The sequence below is a fragment of the Homo sapiens genome, chromosome 21 (genome assembly GCF_000001405.40).
Source record: "Homo sapiens chromosome 21, GRCh38.p14 Primary Assembly".
NCBI lineage: Eukaryota > Metazoa > Chordata > Mammalia > Primates > Hominidae > Homo > Homo sapiens.
In genome coordinates this window covers 13,404,128-13,428,550 of record NC_000021.9, presented here as the reverse complement: position 1 = coordinate 13,428,550, position 24,423 = coordinate 13,404,128, and the positions used below count along the sequence as shown (strand labels likewise).

General features: G+C 36.4%; 1 non-coding gene and 1 pseudogene across 1 annotated transcript; both read left to right on the top strand.

The window, feature by feature from the left end:
• ANKRD30BP1 (ankyrin repeat domain 30B pseudogene 1) overlaps positions 776-24,423 on the top strand; it is a 43,535-nt pseudogene continuing 19,887 nt past the window's right edge.
• MIR3156-3 (microRNA 3156-3) lies at positions 22,091-22,167 on the top strand. Its single transcript, NR_036164.1, has one exon. It is a non-coding gene; the product is annotated as a microRNA 3156-3 (primary transcript).

Sequence of the window (24,423 nt, the reverse complement as noted above, 5' to 3'; positions counted from 1 at the left end):
CCCTCTTCGGGCTTCCAAGGTTCCGGAGTTACAGGCATGAGCCATGGCACCCGGACTGTATTAGTTTGTTGATGGGTGTGCTTTGACTTTTCTGTATAAGTGGATCAGGAAATTTTGAGAGGACTAAACCGGAGAACCCCATAAATGTAAAAATACTCCTATATCACAGAGGATCAAAAATAAATATATTCATAAACTTTTATTCTATAAGTAGATATTTATGCTGATAAATTTAGAACATCCTCTGCAATGATAAGTAAGTTGTACCTTTGAATTCTCATCGCAGCTTTGCAATTCTTAAATTACAGGACAAATTGAAGAACATAATAGCTACTTGCAGTATATTGACATAAGAGATTCTGATGTGTTTCCTTAACAGTATGCCATAGCATTCTACCATTACCTAGGACTTTTTTTTTTTTTTGGCGGGGGGTCATGACTTGGTCATCTTAATAAATTCAACTTCTTTCCCTATACGGCAGATTAATCTGACTGGTATTAGGATTTTTCTACTTTAGTTATTGTCAGTTGAAATATATTTTGACTGTTGAAATCTTCATAGCAAGTTTGATGAAATTTATTTTTTAAATTTTCTTAAGTATATTTCTGTCCCGTTGGCATGTTAACAAATACAGAAACCCAAAAGACCCCAAAACCTAGTGTAATCCCTTTTCAATCAAAGCATGAGGATTCATCTTCATATTCACATTGTACGAATGCTTGGTAGGCTTTGTCAGGCTTGCATATAATCAATTATATATGTCCCTTTTCTTTTAGAGTCTCCTGATAAAGATGGTCTTCTGAAGGTAATTACTTTTATATTTCTATCTTGAATATTAACTACATATATTTGAAGTATACATTATCTATTAATTTTTGTGTTTCCAAACCCATTTAGCCTACCTGTGGAAGGAAAGTTTCTCTTCCAAATAAAGCCTTAGAATTAAAGGACAGAGAAACACTCAAAGCAGGTAAATTTTGTAATTTAAATTTTAATCTGGAATTAAGAATATTAAACTATTTGAAATGCCGAGAGCCTTTTATTCCCAATGTTGTTTTCTTTAGAAAATTTGATGGGAAAATTTGATACAAATAATGCAAATGTTAGTATTTATGTTTGAGAAAATGTCATTTAGAAGCATAAGATTTAGAGATAAAAAAAATTCAGCTTTGCCTCATGTGGATATCTGTCCAGCAGCCTGCAGTGCAATGGGGCCTTGTCTTTGTTCCCAGGTGGATCGGCAGGTTGAGAAATAATAGACACAGACAAGATAGTGAAAGCTGGGTCCAGGGGAATCACAGCCTTGTGTTCCCGTGGTGCCAACAATTCACTGGATATACCCGCATTTACTATTAAGTTTAGTGAGGGTGGGGGTGGGTTAATGAGGGATTTAGGATCATTTGATTATGAGGTGAGATGGTCACATGGGGGTGAAGTAATTCTTTAGCTAACATCTGTATGTTAGCTAAATACAGTACACAGGGATAAGAATTTACAATATAGTGTGTGCATCGGTAATTTCTAACAGAGCCTTAAAAAAGAAACAGTCTTTCTATAACCTATGATTAGCAAGATATTAATCAGCAGTAACAGTTGCAGCAAAAGCTGGTTAGAAACAATCCATAGAAACAGGATGTGAAGCTAGACAACTGGTTAGACCAGAAATTCTCAGGAGTATGCCTTAACCCTAAAGAGGCCTAGAAGAGCCGTGGCAAGATGAGGGCGTTCACAGCACTATCTTATCCATATGGACAGGCGCCCCCCATGCATCTGTTTATAGGCTCTCCACAAGGGTGGCATTCCATTCCCAGAGCTATGAACATATGCGTTTCTGGGATAGGAATCTTGGTGATGTAAAACCTCCCTGACTGCACATCCATTCACAGGCTCTCTGCAGGGGGAAACACATCATGTGCTGTTGGCTCATTCTGGCAGTCCAACCTGGCATTGTCTTTACACAATCCTGCATGCAATTTTGTATTTACAATAATCAGGAGCATTGCATCTTTCATTCCATAGCAATAGTTTCAGGGAGTCATCCTACAGTTGACATGTTAACAAATAAAATAACCCAAAAGACCCCAAAACCTAGTGTAATCCCTTTTCAATCAAAGCATGAGGATTCATCTTCATATTCACACTGTATGAACGTTTGGTAGGCTTTGTCAGGCTTGCATATAATCAATTATATATGTCCCTTTTCTTTTAGAGTCTCCTGATAAAGATGGTCTTCTGAAGGTAATAACTTTTATATTTTTATCTTGATTATTACCTACATATTTTATGAAGTATACATTATCTATTAATTTTTGTGTTTCCAAACCCATTTAGCCTACCTGTGGAAGGAAAGTTTCTCTTCCAAATAAAGCCTTAGAATTAAAGGACAGAGAAACATTCAAAGCAGGTAAACTTTGTAATTTAAATTTTACTCTGGAATTAAGAATATTAAACTATTTGAAATGCTGAGAGCCTTTTATTCCCAATGTTGTTTTCTTTAGAAAATTTGATGGGAAAACTTGATACAAATAATGCCAATGTTAGTATTTATGTTTGAGAAAATGCCATTTAGAAGCATAAGAATTAGGGATTTAGAAAAAAATTCTGCTTTACGTCATGTGGTTCTTCTTTAATATCCCGATAGTGTAAAGTTTCCAATTTGCAATTTCTGTACGTGCTCGGTTTTAAGGCAGGTGAATTTTGAAACTGTGAAATATTTTCAGTGGTTCAAATGCTGATTGGAATTCTGATCTTTACTTTGAGGAAAGTTTCACTTGCTGACGTGACAGTTGTGAGTGTTGTCACTCTGAGAATCTAAAGAAAATCAGTTTCTTGTTTTTCTGATTAGGTGACTGAGAGTGTGTGTGTGTGTGTGTGTGTGTGTGTGTGTGTGTGTGTGACATATAATTTTTAAAAATCACTACTTGATGACTCTTTGCTAGACACACTGTTTTAGAAGTGTGACTCTAAAGCTTTTGGCCTTGGTGTCTTTTTATGCTACTGTAATTAATTGCCTAGAGGTACAAAACAGCCTGAATTAATTTTTGTTGTCATTCCCATGCATGTTTAAATCATGTTACAACAGGCTGTGCACGGCGGCACATGCCTGTAATCCTGGCAATTTAGGAGACCAAGGTGGGCAGATTACTTAAGGTCAGGAGTCGCAGACGAGCCTGGTCAACACAGTGAAACCCCATCGCTACTGAAAATAACATACAATAGCCGGTTGTGGTGGTGGGTGCCCGTAATCTCAGCTACTCTGGAGGCTGAGGCAGGAGAATCGCTTGAACCCATGAGGCAGAAGTTGCAGTGAGCCAAGCTTGTGCCACTTTAGCCTGAGTGACAGAGTGAGACTCCATCTCAAAAAGCAAACAAACAACCATAAATTCACAAGATATGTGTGTGGTTCTGACTATGTGTAGAGTTTGTTTTCACGTCTTAAATTTTCTTTTTTTTTTAAATTTTGATATGGCGTCTTGCTGTCTCGCCCGTCTCATTGTCTTGCCCAGGCTGGAGAGCAGTGGTGTGATCTTGGCTCACTGCAAGCTCCACCTCCCGGGTTCACGCCATTCTCCTGCCTGGGCCTCCCAAGTAGCTGGGAATCCAGGCGCCCACCACAACGCCTGGCTCATTCTTTGTATTTTTAGTAGAAACGGGGTTTCACCATGTTAGCCAGGATGGTCTCGACCTGCTGACCTTGTAATCCACCCACCTCGGCCTCCTAAAGTGCTGGGATTAGAGGCGTGAGCCACCGCGCCCGGCCCAGAGTCTTTTTACACTAGTACCATTTATTGCCTAGAAGTAACCGATATTCTAAACTACTTTTTTAAAGTATTCTTATGCATGTTTAAACATTTTCCAACATGTGTACGTGGTCATATTTAATATGTAAAATTTTTTTCAACTTCTAATGCATACATGGTTGTACAGTGTAATTTTTGGCAACATTCTGTTTTGATCAGCATTATAATTTTTAGAGACGTCCATAAAGGACACAATTAACTGTCTTTTTAAATATCAGATTGTTTATAAAATTCCATTAAGTACATAATTATTATGCTGATAAATAATGAATAAAAATGAAAACATGAAAATTTCAGAGTCTTTAAGTTAGTTATATGTACTGACTTTTTAGTTGTGAGAAAGTAAAACTAAAATATTTAAAGTATCTCCTTGTGCAATCATACATTCCACTAACAATTTGAACTGCGACCCACAGATTATTAGAGCTATGGTACCGCAACACATTAGATCTCTGAAACGATCCAGGGTACACTTCTAAACATGAGTGAAAATGGTGGCATACCAAAGTATGATTTTAGTTTCTTGGTTCCTCTGCATGAAATGTGAACTTTAGGGATGCTGAGATCACACGTTAAATTTACTTTTAAAAATCAGATACACAGTTGATGGATGTCAAATGATAAACGTACCTTTAACGATGATACAGTCTTTTAGGCTTTAGTTGTGCATGTTTGCTTTTTTCTTTAACCTGATTCAAATAGTTGTAATGTGTACTTTTGGTTGATAAAGAAAGCTGAACGTTATTTTTGGTATAAGTTCATTTTCTGTCTCATTGGCCTGAGAGCTCCTCAAGTCTTGTGTGGGCCTTGATTTTATCCTATAACATGTGGGGATGTGAGATTACTTAGGGCAATTATTTTTTCCTATACATTTCTGATGTTTCTCCTAGTTGTCACAAGCTGACTCTGAAGACATTGTTGAGTTAGGGAAGAACTATGTCATTGTAATTAAAGCACTTCTTAATTTATATGCAATAAAAGTTTTTTAAGCTTATCTTCCTAAAACATATAGACACCCAAAACACACCCAATATACTGTCATGGCATATTGAAATGTAAAAGTGTTGGACATATAGTTTACTAACATCAGAAAGTTAATATCCCTAAAAAATCTTGTTCGTTGATAAATCATCTTTTTTGAAGAACTGTGTAATAGAGATTGCAGAGTCAATCAAACTAAGTAATACTAGAAAATAAAAATTTACAAAGAAGTGAGAGATGATAGGTAATTAAAGTTTTCTGAATGAACAGCAAGTATAGGACACACTGTGTTTCACGGGAGAAGAGGATATGACTGCTTTGTGAAGAAATAATTCTAGGAGTTAGTCAAATTTCTATTTTTCTGCATTCTAACGAATGATACAATGTTAATTTTCCGATTTTTTTAGATTTCAATTCTAACGGATTGACTATAGAAGTAGTGATTGTAATCAACAAAAAGAATATACGGGCTACAGAGGAATAACCGCAGATTCGTGAATGAAAGTAGATTTATATATGTTTTTAAAGTTTATAGTAGAGAAATGTTCTCATGAATGTATCTGTGATTAACCTTTTATAGCTCAGATGTTCCAATCAGAATCCAAGCAATAGGACGATGAAGAACATTCTTGGGATTTTGAGGTACTGTGTATTATTAATTTTCTTTAATACTAGTATTGCATGATACAAAAACATAAAAGCAGAGGCTTAGACTTTATTTTCTCACCTCTGCATATGTCACTCCCAAATTATTTTCGATATTTTTCAGAATACGCTTAATAGATGACTGCTTCATAGTGAAATTCTGCTAATTTGTAGGCTTAATTTAAGAAGCCGGTGTGGTATAGTGTAAAAAATAAGGCTTAGAAGTCACTAGAAATTCACATGGGATCTGAAGCAAGTTTGTCTAAAAGCGAAAGAATTACACTGAGTCCAGCTGTGGGCAAATTTATGATTCTGTGGTGTATCTAGATGTGCAAAAGTTCTAACTGGATTCATAGAGAGACAGTTTAAACTGCAGTATTGTAAAAGTTGGGACCTGAAAAGTTAATGCCTGGGACTTGAATATATTGACATTTCTGTATTGTTCAGTATAGATCTGAGGGAACATTTCAGGAGAAAGAGGAGCATGAGGACTAGGAAACCTTGTGGGACTACAGTAACAAGAGTATTGGTTGAGTAATCTTTTGAAAAATATAAATTATTTTCACAAGTAGAACTCCTCGAGTCCCTTTGTGGCAGGCAGTCAAGCTGCAGCAGCATGAGCGTGAAATAATAGTGATGTATTTTAAGGTCACAACTGTGGAAAGACATGGAAAATATCTGACCTCTTAGAAACAAGCAGCTGCTGCCTGGTGGTAAGAGCAAAGGGTGGAAGTCAGTAGACAAGTAGATTTTATCTGATTTGTCGTCAGACAAAAAGACTTTAATATTTGTTGGCTTTCATTTAGACATGACATAATTTCTTTTCTTACTGCATTTACATTCTCTTCAAGCACTTTTTCTATCAGCATAAATTTTGTCAAAAACATGTTGCTTGTTTTAAGCCCCTGTTTACCAAAATAAAGCAGCTTTTTAAACATTCCGTGCATGCATTACATGACAGACTCTAAAAGTTCTCCTCACGGCATGCATCATTTTTAACACTAAACAATTCTATGATCATGAATATTTTAAATGTTTAATGCAGTATGTGTTATGGCTAGTAGCAAGTGTATTGTATTTTGTTTGAAATGGCATATTTACTTTTAATGAGGACTACAACACAAGTTAGATATTTTTAAGAGAGTTACTTTCTGAAATATGCACGAGTGAATTCTTTCGTGAGTGTGATTTGTTTTTCCTGCTCAGTAACCAAGTTAATAGCCTCATGAACGTAAAGGTAAGTTGATGTGGAGAGTGTTATGTGAGGTTTTCTATCAGAATGTTTTGGGTTTCAACACATGTCTGCTCTTAAGTCGAATTGTTTGTAAAGTAGGAAACTGTGTTTTTAGAAAAGATTTTAAGTAGGAACTTTTGATACTCTTCATTATTGGGATTTCTCCATTGAAATTATTTATTGATACTACTTTTAACAGAGTTTCCTTGAGACTCTCTTACAGAATGATGTGTGTTTACCCAAGGCTACACATCAAAAAGAATTTGATACCTTAAGTGGAAAATTAGAAGGTAAGAACCATATTTTATTTAAAAAGTCATTTGACCAAATGTTTCTCTGAACTGATGAGGAGGGATATCCCCTAATAGCTGAAGAAAATTACCTCCTGAATGCAAAGCATGGAAAAAAAGAGAAGTGAAATGGTGATAAGTTACATGTCTTATCATGTGTTGGCAGCAGACTACATTGAGAGTGCTGGAAAGGAACTGAATTATTAGTTTGAATTCAAGGTATTCCAAGAGCTGAGGAAAATGAGAAAATAAGAAAGGAGAAAGTAGTAAAAGAGGAAATGAAGATCGAGAAAGACAGAGAGTACAGAGAGGACGGGAAGGAACAAGAGGCAGGTTTATATAATGGAGGATGGTAAAATGAAATGATTCTTTAGGAAAAGATCGGGTATGGTTAGAAATTTGGGAAGAATATAAAGTGACTTTCTAGTGCCAAAACATACCAGAGAATTACAGCAAAAATATTCTGACTCTTCCTGTCTTTCTCACTGGTGGGAAGCCATTAGGGATGGAAGCAGCTGACCATGGAGAGCTGTGTTCTATTTGCAATAGTTGAGAATAAGCATATATGCACGGCCTCACATGTATATAATTCGTCATATACACTCCGTATAGACCATAAGTTTTCAAACTTTAGAAAATCATCTGAAAACCTTGTTAATAATTCACACTGTGATTCAGCCGACTAGGGATTCTGCATTTTTAGTAAGTTGTCAGGCGATGCTGATGCTGGTGGTCCTTGGACCTCAGACCGAGTAGCAAGAGGAGAGTCCTTTCATGGGAAAAATGTGGAAAAAGAGTAATTGGATAGAGGGTCAAGAGGAGAGGCCTTTCATGGGAGAAATGTGGAAGAAGAGTAATTGGATAACGGGTCAAGACAGAAAAGGTTAGGAGAAAGCGTTATGTTGCTCTTACTTTTGAGTATGTTTTTAGCCAGAGAAGAAGAAAAAAAATTCTGAATTTATTGCTTGAATACCTAAATTGTTCTTATTCATAGGTATTGTACTGATTTTAACATAGAAAATGTTATTAATATTTAATAAGTCTGTTGCAACTAAATTTAAAACAAATATATCAATATTGAAAGCTTATTATATTTGCTATTCCTGATGAGTTTTGTACATCTTTCTCCATGAGTGGATCAAGGAATATTGAGATGGCTAAGCTACAAATTACAAAAATGTTGGCATACCGTTATACCATATGGGTATGAAAATTAGTGGATATTTATATTTAGTATTATTCTCTAAGTATTTATCCAAGCTGATCAATTCATAACACTTTCACTGCTGAGATGTCAGTTCTACATTCAGCTGAACTCTCCTCCAAACTTTTTACCTTCTCAGTGACAGGACGTATTAAAGAACATGATGAATGTTTGTAATGTAATGATATAAATTATTATAATGTGTTGCATTAAAGACACATGGTGTAGCATTCTACGTTCAGCTTTTGCATTTATTTTCTCAGTGTCACGAGTTGCTCCTCTGATTCAAGATCACTTATCTCCTCATCACTCAGCATATACACATTGGCATTAACACTTTTTGCAAAAACCACATATAAATGTTTGTAGAATGTTCTTGTCATTCCACAGCGATTTTTTATTTTTTTGTTCAGCGATTAGCTCGTTTTTCATTTATTTCAAGATTTCAGGCCGGGCGCTGTGGTTCACGCCTGTAATCCCAGCCCTTTGGGAGGCAGAGGCATGCAGATCACGAGGTCAGCAGATCGAAACCATCCTGGCTAACATGGTGAAACCGCGTCTCTATGAAAAAATACAAAAAATTAGCCAAGCATGGTGGTGGGTGCCTCTAGTCCTAGCTACTCGGGAGGCTGAGGCAGGAGAATGTGAGAACCCATGAGGCAGAGATTGCAGTGAGCCAAGATCGTGCACCTACACTCCACCCTGGGTGACAGGGCCAGACTCTGTGAAAAAAAAAAAGAATTTATTTATTGTGGCACTATTCACAATAGCAAAGACTTGGAACCAAACCAAATGTCCAACAACGCTAGACTGGATTAAGAAAGTATGGCACATATACACCATGGAACACTACGCAGCCATAAAAAATGATAAGTTCATGTCCTTTGTAGGGACATGGATGAAACTGGAAACCATCATTCTCAGCAAACTATCACAAGGACAAAAAACCAAACACTGCGCGTTCTCACTCATAGGTGTGAATTGAACAATGAGAACACATGGACACAGGAAGCGGAACATCACACTCCAGGGACTGTTGTGGGGTTGGAGGAGGGATAGCATTAGGAGATATACCTAATGCTAAATGACGAGTTAATGGGTGCAGCACACCAACATGGCACATGTATACATATGTAACAAACCTGCACATTGTGCACATGTACCCTCAAACTTAAAGTATAATAATATTAAAATAAAAAAATAAAGAAAACATTTCTGACTGTGCATTTTTACTTTGCACTACGTTTAATTAGACTCTCTTCATGATGACTCAAAAGCAACATAAATATAATTACAGATGTCAACAAGGCTTTGTTTAAGTGTATGTCTTACTTCACGCTACATTAGAAATTAAAAGTGAAGTACTTAAAATGCAAGGATTCACAGCCATACATTTCAATAGCCATTACAAATGTGGCTCACTAATCTTTAGAGCCATGCCATGTGACCTGTCCTGACTCTAAAAAACTCCAGTGTACACCTTTATAAAAATAAAAGTAATAAAAAAATAACGAAGGTAGTATTCCCCTGCTTCCTTCCTCTGCATGGATTTTGAACTTCAGGGGTAATCAGATCACAATTTAGAACCAGAGTTTTCAACCATACATAGGATTCCTAAATGCCAAGTGATAAACGGTTCGTTGATGATGAGATAGCTCTGAATGTTTCATCTCTGCATGTTTTGCTTTTTTATCTTGTCTTAGAAAGGTCAAAGCCAGCTATTTTCTTCATAAAGGAAAATATTTCGGTTACATATTCATTTCATATCACATGACACTCTGCTTTCTTTGCACTTAGTGAGGATGTACATTTATCATATTTTTACCTAAAACAAACAGATGTATTAATGGTATCATTTCTTATATATGAAATTCTGAGGTTTCTTCAGTGCTTCAGAAGTAAAGTTTAAAGATATTAATAAATCGAGAATGACCTTCTCATCGTAATTAAGGCAGGTTTTTATTTAAAGTGTGTTGAATACACTTTTAAGCACTTTTTTTCTAAAACACCTACCTGCAATACGGTCATGTATTTAGCCTTAAAATGCTTGGACATACATTTTTTGTGTTTTAGAGAGTTTATATCCCTGAAGTGTCTTCATTATTGATCAATCATCTCTCAAGGGAAACAGCATATATACTTGATATGTCTAAATATATTAAAGTATGTTGTACTGAAAAATAAAAAAGTAGAGAAAAATGAGAGATTAAGCATGTTTTATTCATATTATTTGATGAAAGAAGATATATTTCTATGTCAAAGAAATGTCTGTTTTTTCTTGAAGCTAAGTTTTTTGTAAGAGCTTTTTCATAACAGTGTTTTAACTACTCGCATGGTATAACAAATAGAATTAGTTTTAGCAACAAAATAATAAAACTGTTATTTTCAGTAACCATTATTCCAACATTGAAATATGCAGGTTAATGATATATAAAAATTCTCTGGAAATTGACTTCTAATTTTTGATACTTTCATATTAGGTGTTTTTTCTTTTTTTTAATTATACTTTAAGTTTTAGGGTACATGTGCACATTGTGCAGGTTAGTTACATATGTATACCTGTGCCATGCTGGTGCGCTGCACCCACCAACTCGTCATCTAGCATTAGGTATATCTCCTAATGCTATCCCTCCCCCCTCCCCCCACCCCACAACAGTCCCCAGAGTGTGATATTCCCCTTCCTGTGTCCATGTGATCTCATTGTTCAATTCCCACCTATTAGTGAGAATATGCGGTGTTTGGTTTCTTGTTCTTGCGATAGTTTACTGAGAATGATGATTTCCAATTTCATCCATGTCCCTACAAAGGACTTGAACTCATCATTTTTTATGGCTGCATAGAATTCCATGGTGTATATGTGCCACATTTTCTTAATCCAGTCTATCATTGTTCGACATTTGGGTTGCTTCCAAGTCTTTGCTATTGTGAATAATGCTGCAATAAACATACGTGTGCATGTGTCTTTATAGCAGCATGATTTATAGTCCTTTGGGTATATATCCAGTAATGGGCTGGCTGGGTCAAATGGTATTTCTAGTTCTAGATCCCTGAGGAATCGCCACACTGACTTCCACAATGGTTGAACTAGTTTACAGTCCCACCAACAGTGTAAAAGTGTTCCTATTTCTCCACATCCTCTCCAGCACCTGTTGTTTCCTGACTTTTTAATGATTGCCATTCTAACTGGTGTGAGATGGTATCTCATTGTAGTTTTGATTTGCATTTCTCTGATGGCCAGTGATGATGAGCATTTTTTCATGTGTTTTTTGGCTGCATAAATGTCTTCTTTTGAGAAGTGTCTGTCCATGTCCTTCGCCCACTTTTTGATGGGGTTGTTTGTTTTTTTCTTGTAAATTTGTTTGAGTTCATTGTAGATTCTGGATATTAGCCCTTTGTCAGATGAGTAAGTTGTGAAAATTTTCTCCCATTCTGTAGGTTTCCTGTTCACTCTGATGGTAGTTTCTTTTGCTGTGTGGAAGCTCTGTAGTTTAATGAGATCCCATTTGTCAATTTTGTCTTTGGTTGCCATTGCTTTTGGTGTTTTAGACATGAAGTCCTTGCCCATGCCTATGTCCTGAATGGTAATGCCTAGGTTTTCTTCTAGGGTTTTTATGGTTTTAGGTCTAACGTTTAAGTCTTTAATCCATCTTGAATTGATTTTTGTATAAGGTGTAAGGAAGGGATCCAGTTTCAGCTTTCTACATGTGGCTAGCCAGTTTTCCCAGCACCATTTATTAAATAGGGAATCCTTTCCCCATTGCTTGTTTTTCTCAGGTTTGTCAAAGATCAGATAGTTGTAGATATGTGGCATTATTTCTGAGGGCTGTGTTCTGTTCCATTGATCTATATCTCTGTTTTGGTACCAGTACCATGCTGTTTTGGTTACTGTAGCCTTGTAGTATAGTTTGAAGTCAGGTACTGTGATGCCTCCAGCTTTGTTCTTTTGGCTTAGGATTGACTTGGCGACACGGGCTCTTTTTTGGTCCCATATGAACTTTAAAGTAGTTTTTTCCAATTCTGTGAAGAAAGTCATTGGTAGCTTGATGGGGATGGCATTGAATCTGTAAATAACCTTGGGCAGTATGGCCATTTTCACGATATTGATTCTTCCTACCCATGAGCATGGAATGTTCTTCCATTTGTTTTATCCTCTTTTATTTCATTGAGCAGTGGTTTGTAGTTCTCCTTGAAGAGGTCCTTCACATCCCTTGTAAGTTGGATTCCTATTTATTTTATTTTCTTTGAAGCAATTGTGAATGGGAATTCACTCATGATTTGGCTCTCTGTTTGTCTGTTATTGGTGTATAAGAATGCTTGTGATTTTTGTACATTGATTTTGTATCCTGAGACTTTGCTGAAGTTGCTTATCAGCTTAAGGAGATTTTGGGTTGAGACAACGGGGTTTTCTAGATACACAATCATGTCGTCTGCAAAGAGGGACAATTTGACTTCCTCTTTTCCTAATTAAATACCCTTTATTTCCTTCTCCTGCCTCATTGCCCTGGCCAGAACTTCCAACACTATGTTCAACAGGAGTGGTGAGAGAGGGCATCCCTGTCTTGTGCCAGTTTTCAAAGGGAATGCTTCCAGTTTTTGCCCATTCAGTATGATATTGGCTGTGGGTTTGTCATAGATAGCTCTTATTATTTTGAGATATGTCCCATCAATACCTAATTTATTGAGAGATTTTAGCATGAAGGGTTGTTGAATTTTGTCAAAGGCTTTTTCTGCATCTATTGAGATAATCATGTGTTTTTTGTCTTTGGCTCTGTTTATATGCTGGATTACATTTATTGATTTGCGTATATTGAACCAGCCTTGCATCCCAGGGATGAAGCCCACTTGATCATGGTGGATAAGCTTTTTGATGTGCTGCTGGATTCGTTTTGCCAGTATTTTATTGAGGATTTTTGCATCAATGTTCATCAAGGATATTGGTCTAAAATTCTCTTTTTTTGTTGTGTCTCTACCTGGCTTTGCTATCAGAATGATGCTGGCCTCATAAAATGAGTTAGGGAGGATTCCCTCTTTTTCTATTGATTGGAATAGTTTCAGAAGGAATGGTACCAGTTCCTCCTTGTACCTCTGGTAGAATTCGGCTGTGAATCCATCTGGTCCTGGACTCTTTTTGGTTGGTAAGCTATTGATTATTGCCACAATTTCAGAGCCTGTTATTGGTCTATTCAGAGATTCAACTTCTTCCTGGTTTAGTCTTGGGAGAGTGTATGTGTCGAGGAATTTATCCATTTCTTCTACATTTTCTAGTTTATTTGCGTAGAGGTGTTTGTAGTATTCTCTGATGGTAGTTTGTATTTCTGTGGGATCGGTGGTGATATCCCCTTTATCGTTTTTTATTGCATCTACTTGATTCTTCTCTCTTTTTTTCTTTATTAGTCTTGCTAGCGGTCTATCAATTTTGTTGATCCTTTCAAAAAACCAGCTCCTGGATTCATTAATTTTTTCAACAGTTTTTTGTGTCTCTATTTCCTTCAGTTCTGCTCTGATTTTAGTTATTTCTTGCCTTCTGCTAGCTTTTGAATGTGTTTGCTCTTGCTTTTCTAGTTCTTTTAATTGTGATGTTAGGGTGTTTTTTCTTTTGTTGAGACAGTCTCACTCTGTCATCCAGGCTGGAGTGCAGTGGCATGATCTTGACTCACTGCCACCTGGGCCTCCTGGGTTCAAGTGATTCTCACAGCTCCGGCTCCCAAGTAGCTGGGGTTACAGGCATGTGCCACCATACCTGGATGATTTTTGTATTTTTTGTGGAGACAGGGTTTCGCTATTTTGGCCAGGCTGCTTTGGAACTCCTGGCCTCGAGAGATCCGCCCTCTTCAGGCTTCCAAGGTTCTGGAGTTACAGGCATGAGCCATGGCACCTGGACTGTATTAGTTTGTTGATGGGTATGCTTTGACTTTTCTGTATAAGTGGATCACGAAATTTTAAGAAGACTAAACTAGAGAACCCCAGAAATGTAAAAATACTCGTATTTCACAGAGGTTCAAAAATAAATATATTTATAAACTTTTATTCTATAAGTAGTATTTATGCTGATGAATTTAGAACATTCTCTGCAATGATAAGTAAATTGTACCTTTGAATTCTCATCGGAGCTTTGCAATTCTTAAATTACAGGACAAATTGAAGAACATAATAGCTACTTGTAGTATATTGACATAAGTGATTCTGATGTGTTTCTTTAATAATATGTCATAGCATTCTACCATTAGCTTGGACATTTATTTATTTATTTTTGGTGGAGGGGTCATGTCTTGGTCATCTTACTAAATTCAACCTCTTTCCTTATGTGACAGCTTACTCTTACTGGTATTAGGATTTTCTGCTTTAGTTAATGTCACTTGAAATATATTTTGACTGTTGAAATCTTCACAGCATGTTTGAGGAAATTTATTTTTTAAATTTTCTTAGGTATATTTCTGTCACGCTGGCATGTTAACAAACACAATAACCCAAAAGACCCCAAAACCTAGTGTAACCCCTTTTCAATCCAAGCGTGAGGATTCATCTTCATATTCACACTGCATGAATGTTTGGTAGACTTTGACAGGCTTGCGTATAATCAATTATATATGTCCCTTTTCTTTTAGACTCTCCTGATAAAGATGGTCTTCTGAAGGTAATAACTTTTATATTTTTATCTTGAATATTAACTACTTATTTTATGAAGTATACATTATATAGTAATTATTGTGTTTCCAAACCCATTTAGCCTACCTGTGGAATGAAAATTTCTCTTCCAAATAAAGCCTTAGAATTGAAGGACAGAGAAACATTCAAAGCAGGTAAATTTTGTAATTTTAATTTTACTGTGGAATTAAGAACATTAAAATATTTGAAGTGCCAAGAGCCTTTTTATTCCCAATGTTGTTTTCTTTTCAAAATTGGATGGGGAAATTTGACACAAATAATACCAATGTTAGTATTCATGTTTGAGAAAATGCCATTTACAAGCGTAAGATTTAGAGATTTAAAAAAAATTCTACTGTACCTCATGTGGTTCTTCTTTAATATCCTGATACTATAAAGTTTCCAATTTGCAATTTCTATACATGCTCGGTTTTGAGGCAGGTGAATTTTGACACTGTGAAATATTTGCAGTGGTTCAAATGCTGATTGGAATTCTGATCTTTACTTTGAGGAAAGTTTCACTTGCTGACATGACAGTTGTGAGTGTTGTCACTCTGAGAATCTAAAGAAAATCGGTTTCTTGTTTTTCTGATTAGGTGATTGAGTGTGTGTGTGTGTGTGACTTATAATTTTTAAAAATCATTACTTGATGACTCTTTGCTAGACACGGTGTTTTAGAAGCGTAACTCTAAAGCATTTGGCCTTAGTATCTTTTTATGCTACTGTAATTAATTTCCTAGAGGCACAAAACAGCCTGAATTAGTTTTTGTTGTCATTCCCATGCATGTTTAAAACATGTTACAACAGGCTGTGCACGGCGGCACATGCCTGTAATCCTAGCATTTTGGGAGACCAAGGTGGGCAGATAACTGAAGGTTAGGAGTTCCAGACCAGCCTGGTCAACATAGTGAAACCCTATCTCTACTAAAAATAACAAACAATAGCTGGTTTTGGTGGTGGGTGCCTGTAATCTCAGCTACTCTGGAGGCTGAGGCAGGAGAATCGCTTGAACCTAAGAGGCAGAAGTTGCAGTGAGCAAAGATCGTGCCACTCCAGCCTTGGTAACAGAGTGACACTCCATCTCAAAAAGCAAACAAACAAACAAACAAAACCCCAGAAATTCACAACATATGTGTGTGGTTCTAGACTATGTGTAGAATTTGTTTTCATGTCTTAAATTTTCAATAAATAGTTGTACACTGTACATATTATTTTGGAACTTCCTTTTTTTTTGCTTATCTTATATTTTAGGTGTACTCAATACAGTTAGCTCCGCTTTGATTTCAGGCTTCATAGTTTGTGATTTTAACTCTAAAACACATTTAATTAGGCTGTCTTTCATAGCCACTAAAAGTCAACATCAAATGATAGCTTATATCAGAGAGCTTTTATTGAAGTGGGAGCATTTACTGCTTCAACTAATATTAGAAATTAAAACGAAAATATTTAAAATACTGGAATGCATTTTAAATATTTGTGTTTTTGGAGATGGAGTTTCCCTCTTTTGCCCAGGCTGGAGTGCAACGGTGTGATCTTACCTCACTACCCTCTCTGCCTCCTGGACTCAAGTGATTCTCCTCCATCAGCCTCTGAGTACAAATACTCATTTGTAAACCAGTCACTAGAAAAGCAAATGTTCTTACTGTGATTAGCTTAGAATAATGATTTCTCATTTTGTAGATGAGATGGGAGTAAAGGAATAATAAATATGTAAATAAACTTGTGTTTCTGCTGTAAGAAAGAAAAAATAATTTCTATGCATTGGCAGCCAGCAATGTTTTCTGCACGGATTCATTGGAATTGTTTGAGCAGGGGAGTCCCAAGATTAGATTTAAGTATCAGAGCATTCTGGTCATGGTATAAACCAGGCACTGGCAAACTTTTCCTGTAAAGTGCCAAACAGGAAATATGTTAGGTGATGTGGTCTCTATCACAGCTTTTCAACTCTACCATTGTAGCATGAAAGCAGTCATAGATAACATGTGAAGAAATAGGCGTGATTGTACTCCAATAAAACTTTGTCTAAAATCCATTTGGTAAGGTGAATTTGGAATTCCATAACCATGGGTGGTGGAATACAACAGTTTGCACTGTGTCCCTTAATTGAGGGACCGCGATACCAAGGCTGCACTAGCTTTAAGCAGCTTTTTCAATACTTTTATATACTGTTTCTTTTGTGCTGATAATTGTTGTCCCATGATGAAACTCTTGCCTGAACAATTTCCCCCAAACTTGGAAATCCTGAGCAGGCACCAATGACTTACTCGCTGCCTGCGCAGTTCTTTTCACCTTCATTTTTGAGGGGTCCATCACGATCCTTTTGCATCGTTTGTCTTGCCACCTGCCGGGTCCATCCTATGGACACTGACCTAAGTGATGGATGAGAGACGTATACTGAAACAGATATTTTGCCTGTCAGTGCAGCTAAGGGGTTCTGCTGCCTGAGTCTGCATTGTTGGCCTCGATAAGCCTGCAAAGTTCGCATTTATTTAATACAGATTAAATGACAAAGCTGTTGAGTAAACATCACTAGAGGGTAATTAAGATTGCCAACCCCCAGTACAAAGCAATCATGCACCCTCGGATGATCAAACTTTTGTCTTAGGACCACGTGAGTAAACAAGGTATTTAGATAAACTCCTCCACATTCCCTAGATATTTGCTCTATTGCTACCAACTCAAAGTAAAGAAGATTAGGCTGTTTTCAGCCAAATCATTTACTGAAGCTATGCAACCCCCCGGCCTTCCAAGAAGGTTTGTGTCTATTTCCTATAACTATCTTTATAATTTTTTTAACCACTTTGTCCGATCCCCTACAGGTAGGGTTGCTTTTTTCCTGTGAAAGCCATCAGTTAAGGGGCCATGTCTAACTAGGAAATATAAATATAAAATAAATAAGTTTGTATTTCCAGTTGCAATGGAAAGATAAAGCAAATGCAGAAAAGAGGTACAGTTAAGATGATTTAGTGATTATTGAGTTGAAAAAGCTACGGGAGAGAAGAAATTTCAGGTCATTCATAAGTTTCCACATGGGGAATGCTCATGGGGAAGGAGTAGGAAATTGTCAGGTCAACAGAAAAGTGCAAACAGTCATGGGACAGACCAACCGTTTTCTTTACATATTGAGTTCAATGAAACATTCATGTGGGATATTTTCAGTAGGTAATTGGTTTATACGTATTTCTAGCTGGAGATAGAACTCTGGTTGGAGATGCAGGCTTAGAATAATTTTATTATAATTATTAAGCAAAGCCATAGATCTCACTGAGCTTATCCATGATGCAGAAGATGTAGAATAAGAAGAAAGCCATTGACAAAATCCTGGGAGTATCAACATTTCACAGAGTCACAGGACTTGGTAAAGGAGACTGAGCAGTGGCTAATGAAAAGTACGAGAGGAGTCAGAGAAAGTGATGTTGCAAATTTCTTTTAAATATGAGAATTTCAGCAGTAAGATTATAACTGAAAAGTCAATTGGATTTAACTTACAAGTTCTTCAGTGGTAATCTGTTCAAAAGAATTATTTTAGAGTTGTTAGGTATAATGTTGATGTGGTTAATATTTCGGCGTCCAAGAGGAAATCTCCCAAGATCCTACCTAACTTTTTGCAACTAAAGCAGCATATATACACAGGGTCTAGGAAATTGTCTAGACTGGGGAGTACACATGCCAGCATTTTTCCAGAATTGTCAAAACCTAAGGGTCATGTGTGAGGAAAAGTGTTGTCTTTTTTATCTGCTTCTTGTGGAGAGTGGAGATCTGTATTGTTTCTCTCTCTCTCTCTCTCTCTCTCTCTCCCCCTCTCTCTCTCTCTCTCACACACACACACACACACACACACACACACACACAAGTACAGTAATTCATCCTTATCCAAGGCGGATATTTTCTAAGACACCCATTGAATGTCTGAAACTGTGGATAGTATGGAACCCTATACATCCATGCTTTTTTTCTTCTATAAGTGCATATTTATGATAAAGTTTAATTCATAAATTAGGCAGAGTGAGAGATTAACAAGAACTCATAATAAAATATAACAATAACAATATATTGTAATCAAAGTTAGGTGAATATGGTCCCTCAAAGTGTCTTGTATTGTACTCGCCCTTCTTTTTTGTGTGATGGCTGTGAGATGATATAATGCCTATGTGATGTGTTGAAGTCAGGTGAATGAGGTAGGAATTGTCATGTGGTGTTAGGCTACTAATTATTTCTTGCTGTCTGACCACACATCAGAAGGAGGATCATCTGCTTCATGTGACCCTAGATCATTGAGCCATGATAATGTTGATGGTTGGGATTCAGGAACAGACCATTTTGATGACTAATGGACAGATAGCATATACAAAGGGATGATTCATGACCTGGATGAAATGGAACAGGATGCCTTAATATTTCATTGTACTCCTTAGAATGACACATTATTTAGGACTTATGACTTGTATATTTCTGGAATTCCACATTTAATATTTTTGGACTATCATTGACTATGAGTAACTGAAATCACAGAAATTAAAGAGACCCAGATTTGCAACTGGTGTGTGAGGGAAGTCTTGTGAGACTGAGCACTCAGTCTGTGGGATCTGAGACTATTTCTAGATAGACAGTGTTGGAATTAAATAGAGGACAGTCAGCTGTTTTTTGCTACAGAATTCATTGCTTATTAGTTGGTGGAGAAAATCCTCCACACATTTGGTCGCAGATGTCTTCTGTTTTAATGATTTTGGTATGAGAGCAGAGGGAAATCATGTTGTGTGTGTTTCTTTCTACACATACAGCAGATAAGAGACTACTGTATACTCTGTTCTAACTGCTTCTAGTCCATTTGTCTAGAAATTATACTTTCTAAGTTTGACACTGTCCACTTATACTAATTCTTCTAATAATACAGTTTTCTGTCAGTCTTATAGGGTTCTGTTTGGATTATGACTATTGTACACTGTAGTTCACTTGCAGAGATCAAATTGTGATAAATTCCATTTTTCCTTGCATTTGAGAACTACAAAGGAGGGGAAATAAGCATTCTTAATGCATTAATTTCCTACCAATAGTATACTTAATAATAATTTTACTATAGTCTCAATGTATGGTCCCAAAAGAATGCTTTGTAACAAATCATCTGAGTCTTTGTAACAAAGTGTCAGAGTATTATGCTTTTTAAACCAAGACCTGAATCATGCATGAAAGTGTGCAGGATTCCTTTAAGTTAAGTTGAAGTCTTGCAATGTCTCCCAGGCTGCTTTCAGACTCCTGGGCTCCTCAGATGATCCTCCTGCCTCACCTTCCCAAGTAGCTGGGATTACAGGCATGTGCCATCGTGCCCTCTTATGTTTTTAATATTCTGTATTTTTTATTTGTATTTGTTGATTTAATGTATTTTACTCTTTTCTTTAATAGTGGATGTGAGTTCTGTAGAGTCCACATTCAGGTAAGACTTTGCGGTTTTTTAAAACGTATATGTTAACTCAGAAAATATAGAGAAAAGAAATCACTATCTGCTGAGTATTCTACTCTGGGCTATACAACGTATTATGTGCTTAATATTTATCATTTCACATAGTCATCACACAGCTTTGCAAAGCATCTGTGCTACTGTCACCTACTTTGTATTAATCAGGCAAATGTGATTCAGAGAGGTTGATTAATTGACCTATGATTTCATAGCTAAAAAGTAGCTGACCCTTGAGTTTGCCATCTGCTTACCTTGCTCCCTAATCCCTTCACTTCCCCCTCGGCATAGATGGATGGAGACCTGTGCATCACTAGGATCAAGATACAGGTCCAGATGGGATCAATTCACAAAGTCACATTTTGTTATATGTTAACTCTTTTTAGAGATTTCCCATAGAACACTGATTAATTCAAGACTTTGTTCTAACATGTTTAACTGTTAAAGTGGTAACCAGTACCTTGTTTTTATCGCCGTTTTTAGAGCAGATCTTACTTAGCTGTGGCCACAAGACATAGGCTTTTGTTTCATATGCAATACCAGGTAAATCCTATAGATGGATTATTTCACTTTTAGTGGAGAATATCTACATATAGATATGTTAATCATATTTAGAGACTATTTCTTATAGAATTCTCTATTTACTGACTTCTTAATTTAGTTCTTCTTCAAAGCATTCCCCTCTTAGTTGCATGCACTCTTCATTTTCTTTTCTAGAGTCTTTTCTCTTCTTTCATGACTTATTTATAATCTTTTCCTGATTACTTTCTTCTCTGCTTTCCTTGGTATTCTTTTCTTCTATTATTTTATTTCTTTCTGCCAGCCCCGTTTTTCTATAGCTAAAATTAAAGCACATGGAATTTTAGGATTTTTAGGACTCTTGGAGACTAATCAAAATACTTTCATATTTTAAACTCTATTTAATATCCTGGAAAAATTGTTGTTCACATGGAGAATCTGAAACTCAAAGTGACTTATTTAAATACAAGAGGTAGCAGAAGTAATATTTAAACTCATTTCAAAGCCCATTACTCTTGTTTTTATATCATCATGTAAGTGAGTGTTTGAATAATAGAAAGGAAAAGGGGATGGATCTGATTAAACAAATGGAAAGGGATAAGAATGGAATTAGCTGGAGAACCCAGTGGAAGTAGATAAGAATGGAATTATCAGGGAAAGGCCAAGTTTGAAGAGAAACAATCCCAGGATTGGTAGGAGTAAGGGTTTTATTTACCAAAGAGATCAGAATATTGGATCTTATGACGTTTGATGAAGATAAATTAGAGGACCAAAAACACAGAAGACATTGGGAGTTATCTAGAAAGGCATACTAAAATAGGGTTCAAAGAAGTCCTGAATAGGTTGCTGCTTTTTTTGCTTGTTTAATTGGAGGAATGGGCAAACTTCAAGATTTCTATTGAAAGATTTAGAAAAAAAGACCAACTCAGAAAAGTCTCCACAATCAGAATAGAAATGTCCTATTCTGTTCTTTCACCCCAAATCTCACAGGAGTGGCTTAGAGCCCCTTGAGTGCTAGGGGATTGAAGGTTGCTGAATTACATAGATCTGTGGCCTAAGGCAGGTGTCCCCTCCCGTTTGCCTCTTCTTCCAAGCCTCTGATGTCCTACCCATGTACATGTAAAGCAGGGGGAAGATTGGCTGTCAAATTAGTCATGGAGCTTCAGTTGGGTTTTTGGTAACATGACTGAGACTCCATTTAGTTGTTTTTCAGGAACAGGTAAATACAGAGCTTATTGGTTGGTCATTGAGTTTATCTTTTCAGTAATCTGTGCTTAGATGAGCTAAATGTTTAAAGGTTGGAGACTGCCATGAAGCTCTGCAGAAGAAAGATCTGGAAGTGGGAGACACTTTCACTATATATAGTGGCTCCCACTTCCTGATCTTTCTCTCTGTATATATAGTACTTAGAGAAATTCAACTATCAGGACTCAGTTTTTCTAGCAGTCTCTCTCCTTGGGTATAAGTACCTATGAAGATTTTTAAGGCTTTGCTAGTTTATGTAGACCTGAACAAGGAAGGACAATTATAAAATAAGTAGTTAGACTTTATTACTTTTAATATTTCAATTTTTGTGAGAAAACTATTCCCAATAACAAATATAGATTTGTATTTTGACATTTGTAGGTTCAGCTTTTCAACATTTCAGATATTTCAGGGCACTCTCTTGTAGCGTTTTAGGGTGAAGGGAAGCAACAAGGCCTTTTTAAGTGGTTTTTATGCCGAAAAACAAAGAATGTCATTTTCCAGTGACACAGATTAGTCTTTGAATCAGAGATAGACAATGGATAAGGGACAAGGTAACTGTACCTTTCTTCCTCATTTTAGGTTATCAAGTTTGTTCCAGTTTAGATATCAAAAGTTATGTCAGCCATTAAGTACATTTTCAGTTCACCATAGAGGACAGTTTGTGAGGACGAATTATACTCAGGGTATGCCAATTATATTGGCGGTCACTATTTTTTATGGAACTAAGAGTGAGTGTTCATTGGATGTTACAGGTTGGAGAGATAGAGTCGAAAATAGGTAAATACAATCTTTTTTAAAAACAGAGGGGCCGGGCGCCGTGGCTCACGCCTGTAATCCCAGCACTTTGGGAGGCTGAGGCGGGCGGATCATGAGGTCAGGAGATCGAGACCATCCTGGCTAACACGGTGAAACCCCGTCTCTACTAAAAATACAAAAAATTAGCCAGGCGCGGTGGTGGGCTCCAGCCCTAGCTACTGGGGAGGCTGAGGCAGGAGAATGGCGTGAACCCCGGGAGGCAGAGCTTGCAGTGAGCCCAGATCGCGCCATCTCACTCCAGTCTGGGCGACAGAGCGAGACTCCGTCTCAAAAAAAAAAACAACAAAAACCAGATGGCATATTTTAATTATGCCAAGAAACATGATTTAATATATCGAGGACTGATCTTTCCCCAGATTTTTTTTGTTCTCATTTTTTGGAGTGAGCACCAAGATATGAACTAGCAGATTTTCTTTTTAAATATATGAATTTGCTCATTTTTGTTTTATCTTTTTTCTCTAGTCTTTTTGGCAAACCGACTACTGAAAATTCACAGTCTACAAAAGTTGAGGAAGACTTTAATCGTACTACCAAGGTAAAATGGTCTCTTGTTAAATTGATTTTCTCAGTTGGAATCTAATTCTGTATAGTATTTACTTTTCATGTTTAGCAGTGGTGTATGTATCATAATTTCATGTTGGTAATATAAAGTTGGTCACATAAAAACATTTTATAGAAATATGAGTAGTTGATTTAAACAGTTTTTTTGTTTTTTGTTTTTGTTTGTTTGTTTTACTTCAGTAAATAACAAATGATTGGTAAATACTTTGAGGGTGTGAGGGCCAAAAACTGGAACGGGCTGTAGAATACATAGTGACAGCAACATTATATTAGAAAAAACGTGTCCACAATAGAGAATATATAAAATCTGGTAAAGGTTTCTTTGCATAAGTAAACTTACTGTGACTTTTAAAATTATTCTATTGTAACTTTAAAAAAACCTCATCCTTAAAATTATCTTTAATGGATCCAGTTACTTATTACAGTAATCAGGGAATCTGTCTGATAAAGTTCAGTTCTGAAACTGTGCCACATAGCATATAGGTTTTTTTGGCACATATTATTTTGATATCATGTAGTTTTTAGGAGAGAGCTTTTTATCAGTTTCTCTTCTTGGTTCTTTAATTAAACACCAAAATAATATTAGAAATTGTGAAAATTTATTTGGGCATGGTGGTGCATGCCTGTAGTTCCAGCTACCAAGGAGGGTGATGCAGGAAGATTGCTTGAGCCCAAGAGTTTGAGACCAGTGTGGGCACATAGTGAGAACTTATCTCTAATTTTGAATATAATTGTAGAAATTTAGAAATGTAAATTCTCTTTCTCAGAATCTGTATTATTAAGGCATGTGAGGATGTTTTCTAAGTTATTTCATTAAAAGTATACTTTAAATTCTTCAACTAAATGAAGAATGCAGGTTTCACCCCAAGTAAACAACCAGTTCTGGAAGCAGAGACTCTTAATAAGCATATGGTAAGATTTTAATTTCAGAGTTTTTAAATTGCACTTTTTAAACATATTGTTCAAAGATCTTTGATCACATTTGAAAATTTTAAATTTCAGAAGATTTTTTATTTAGTTATTTAAA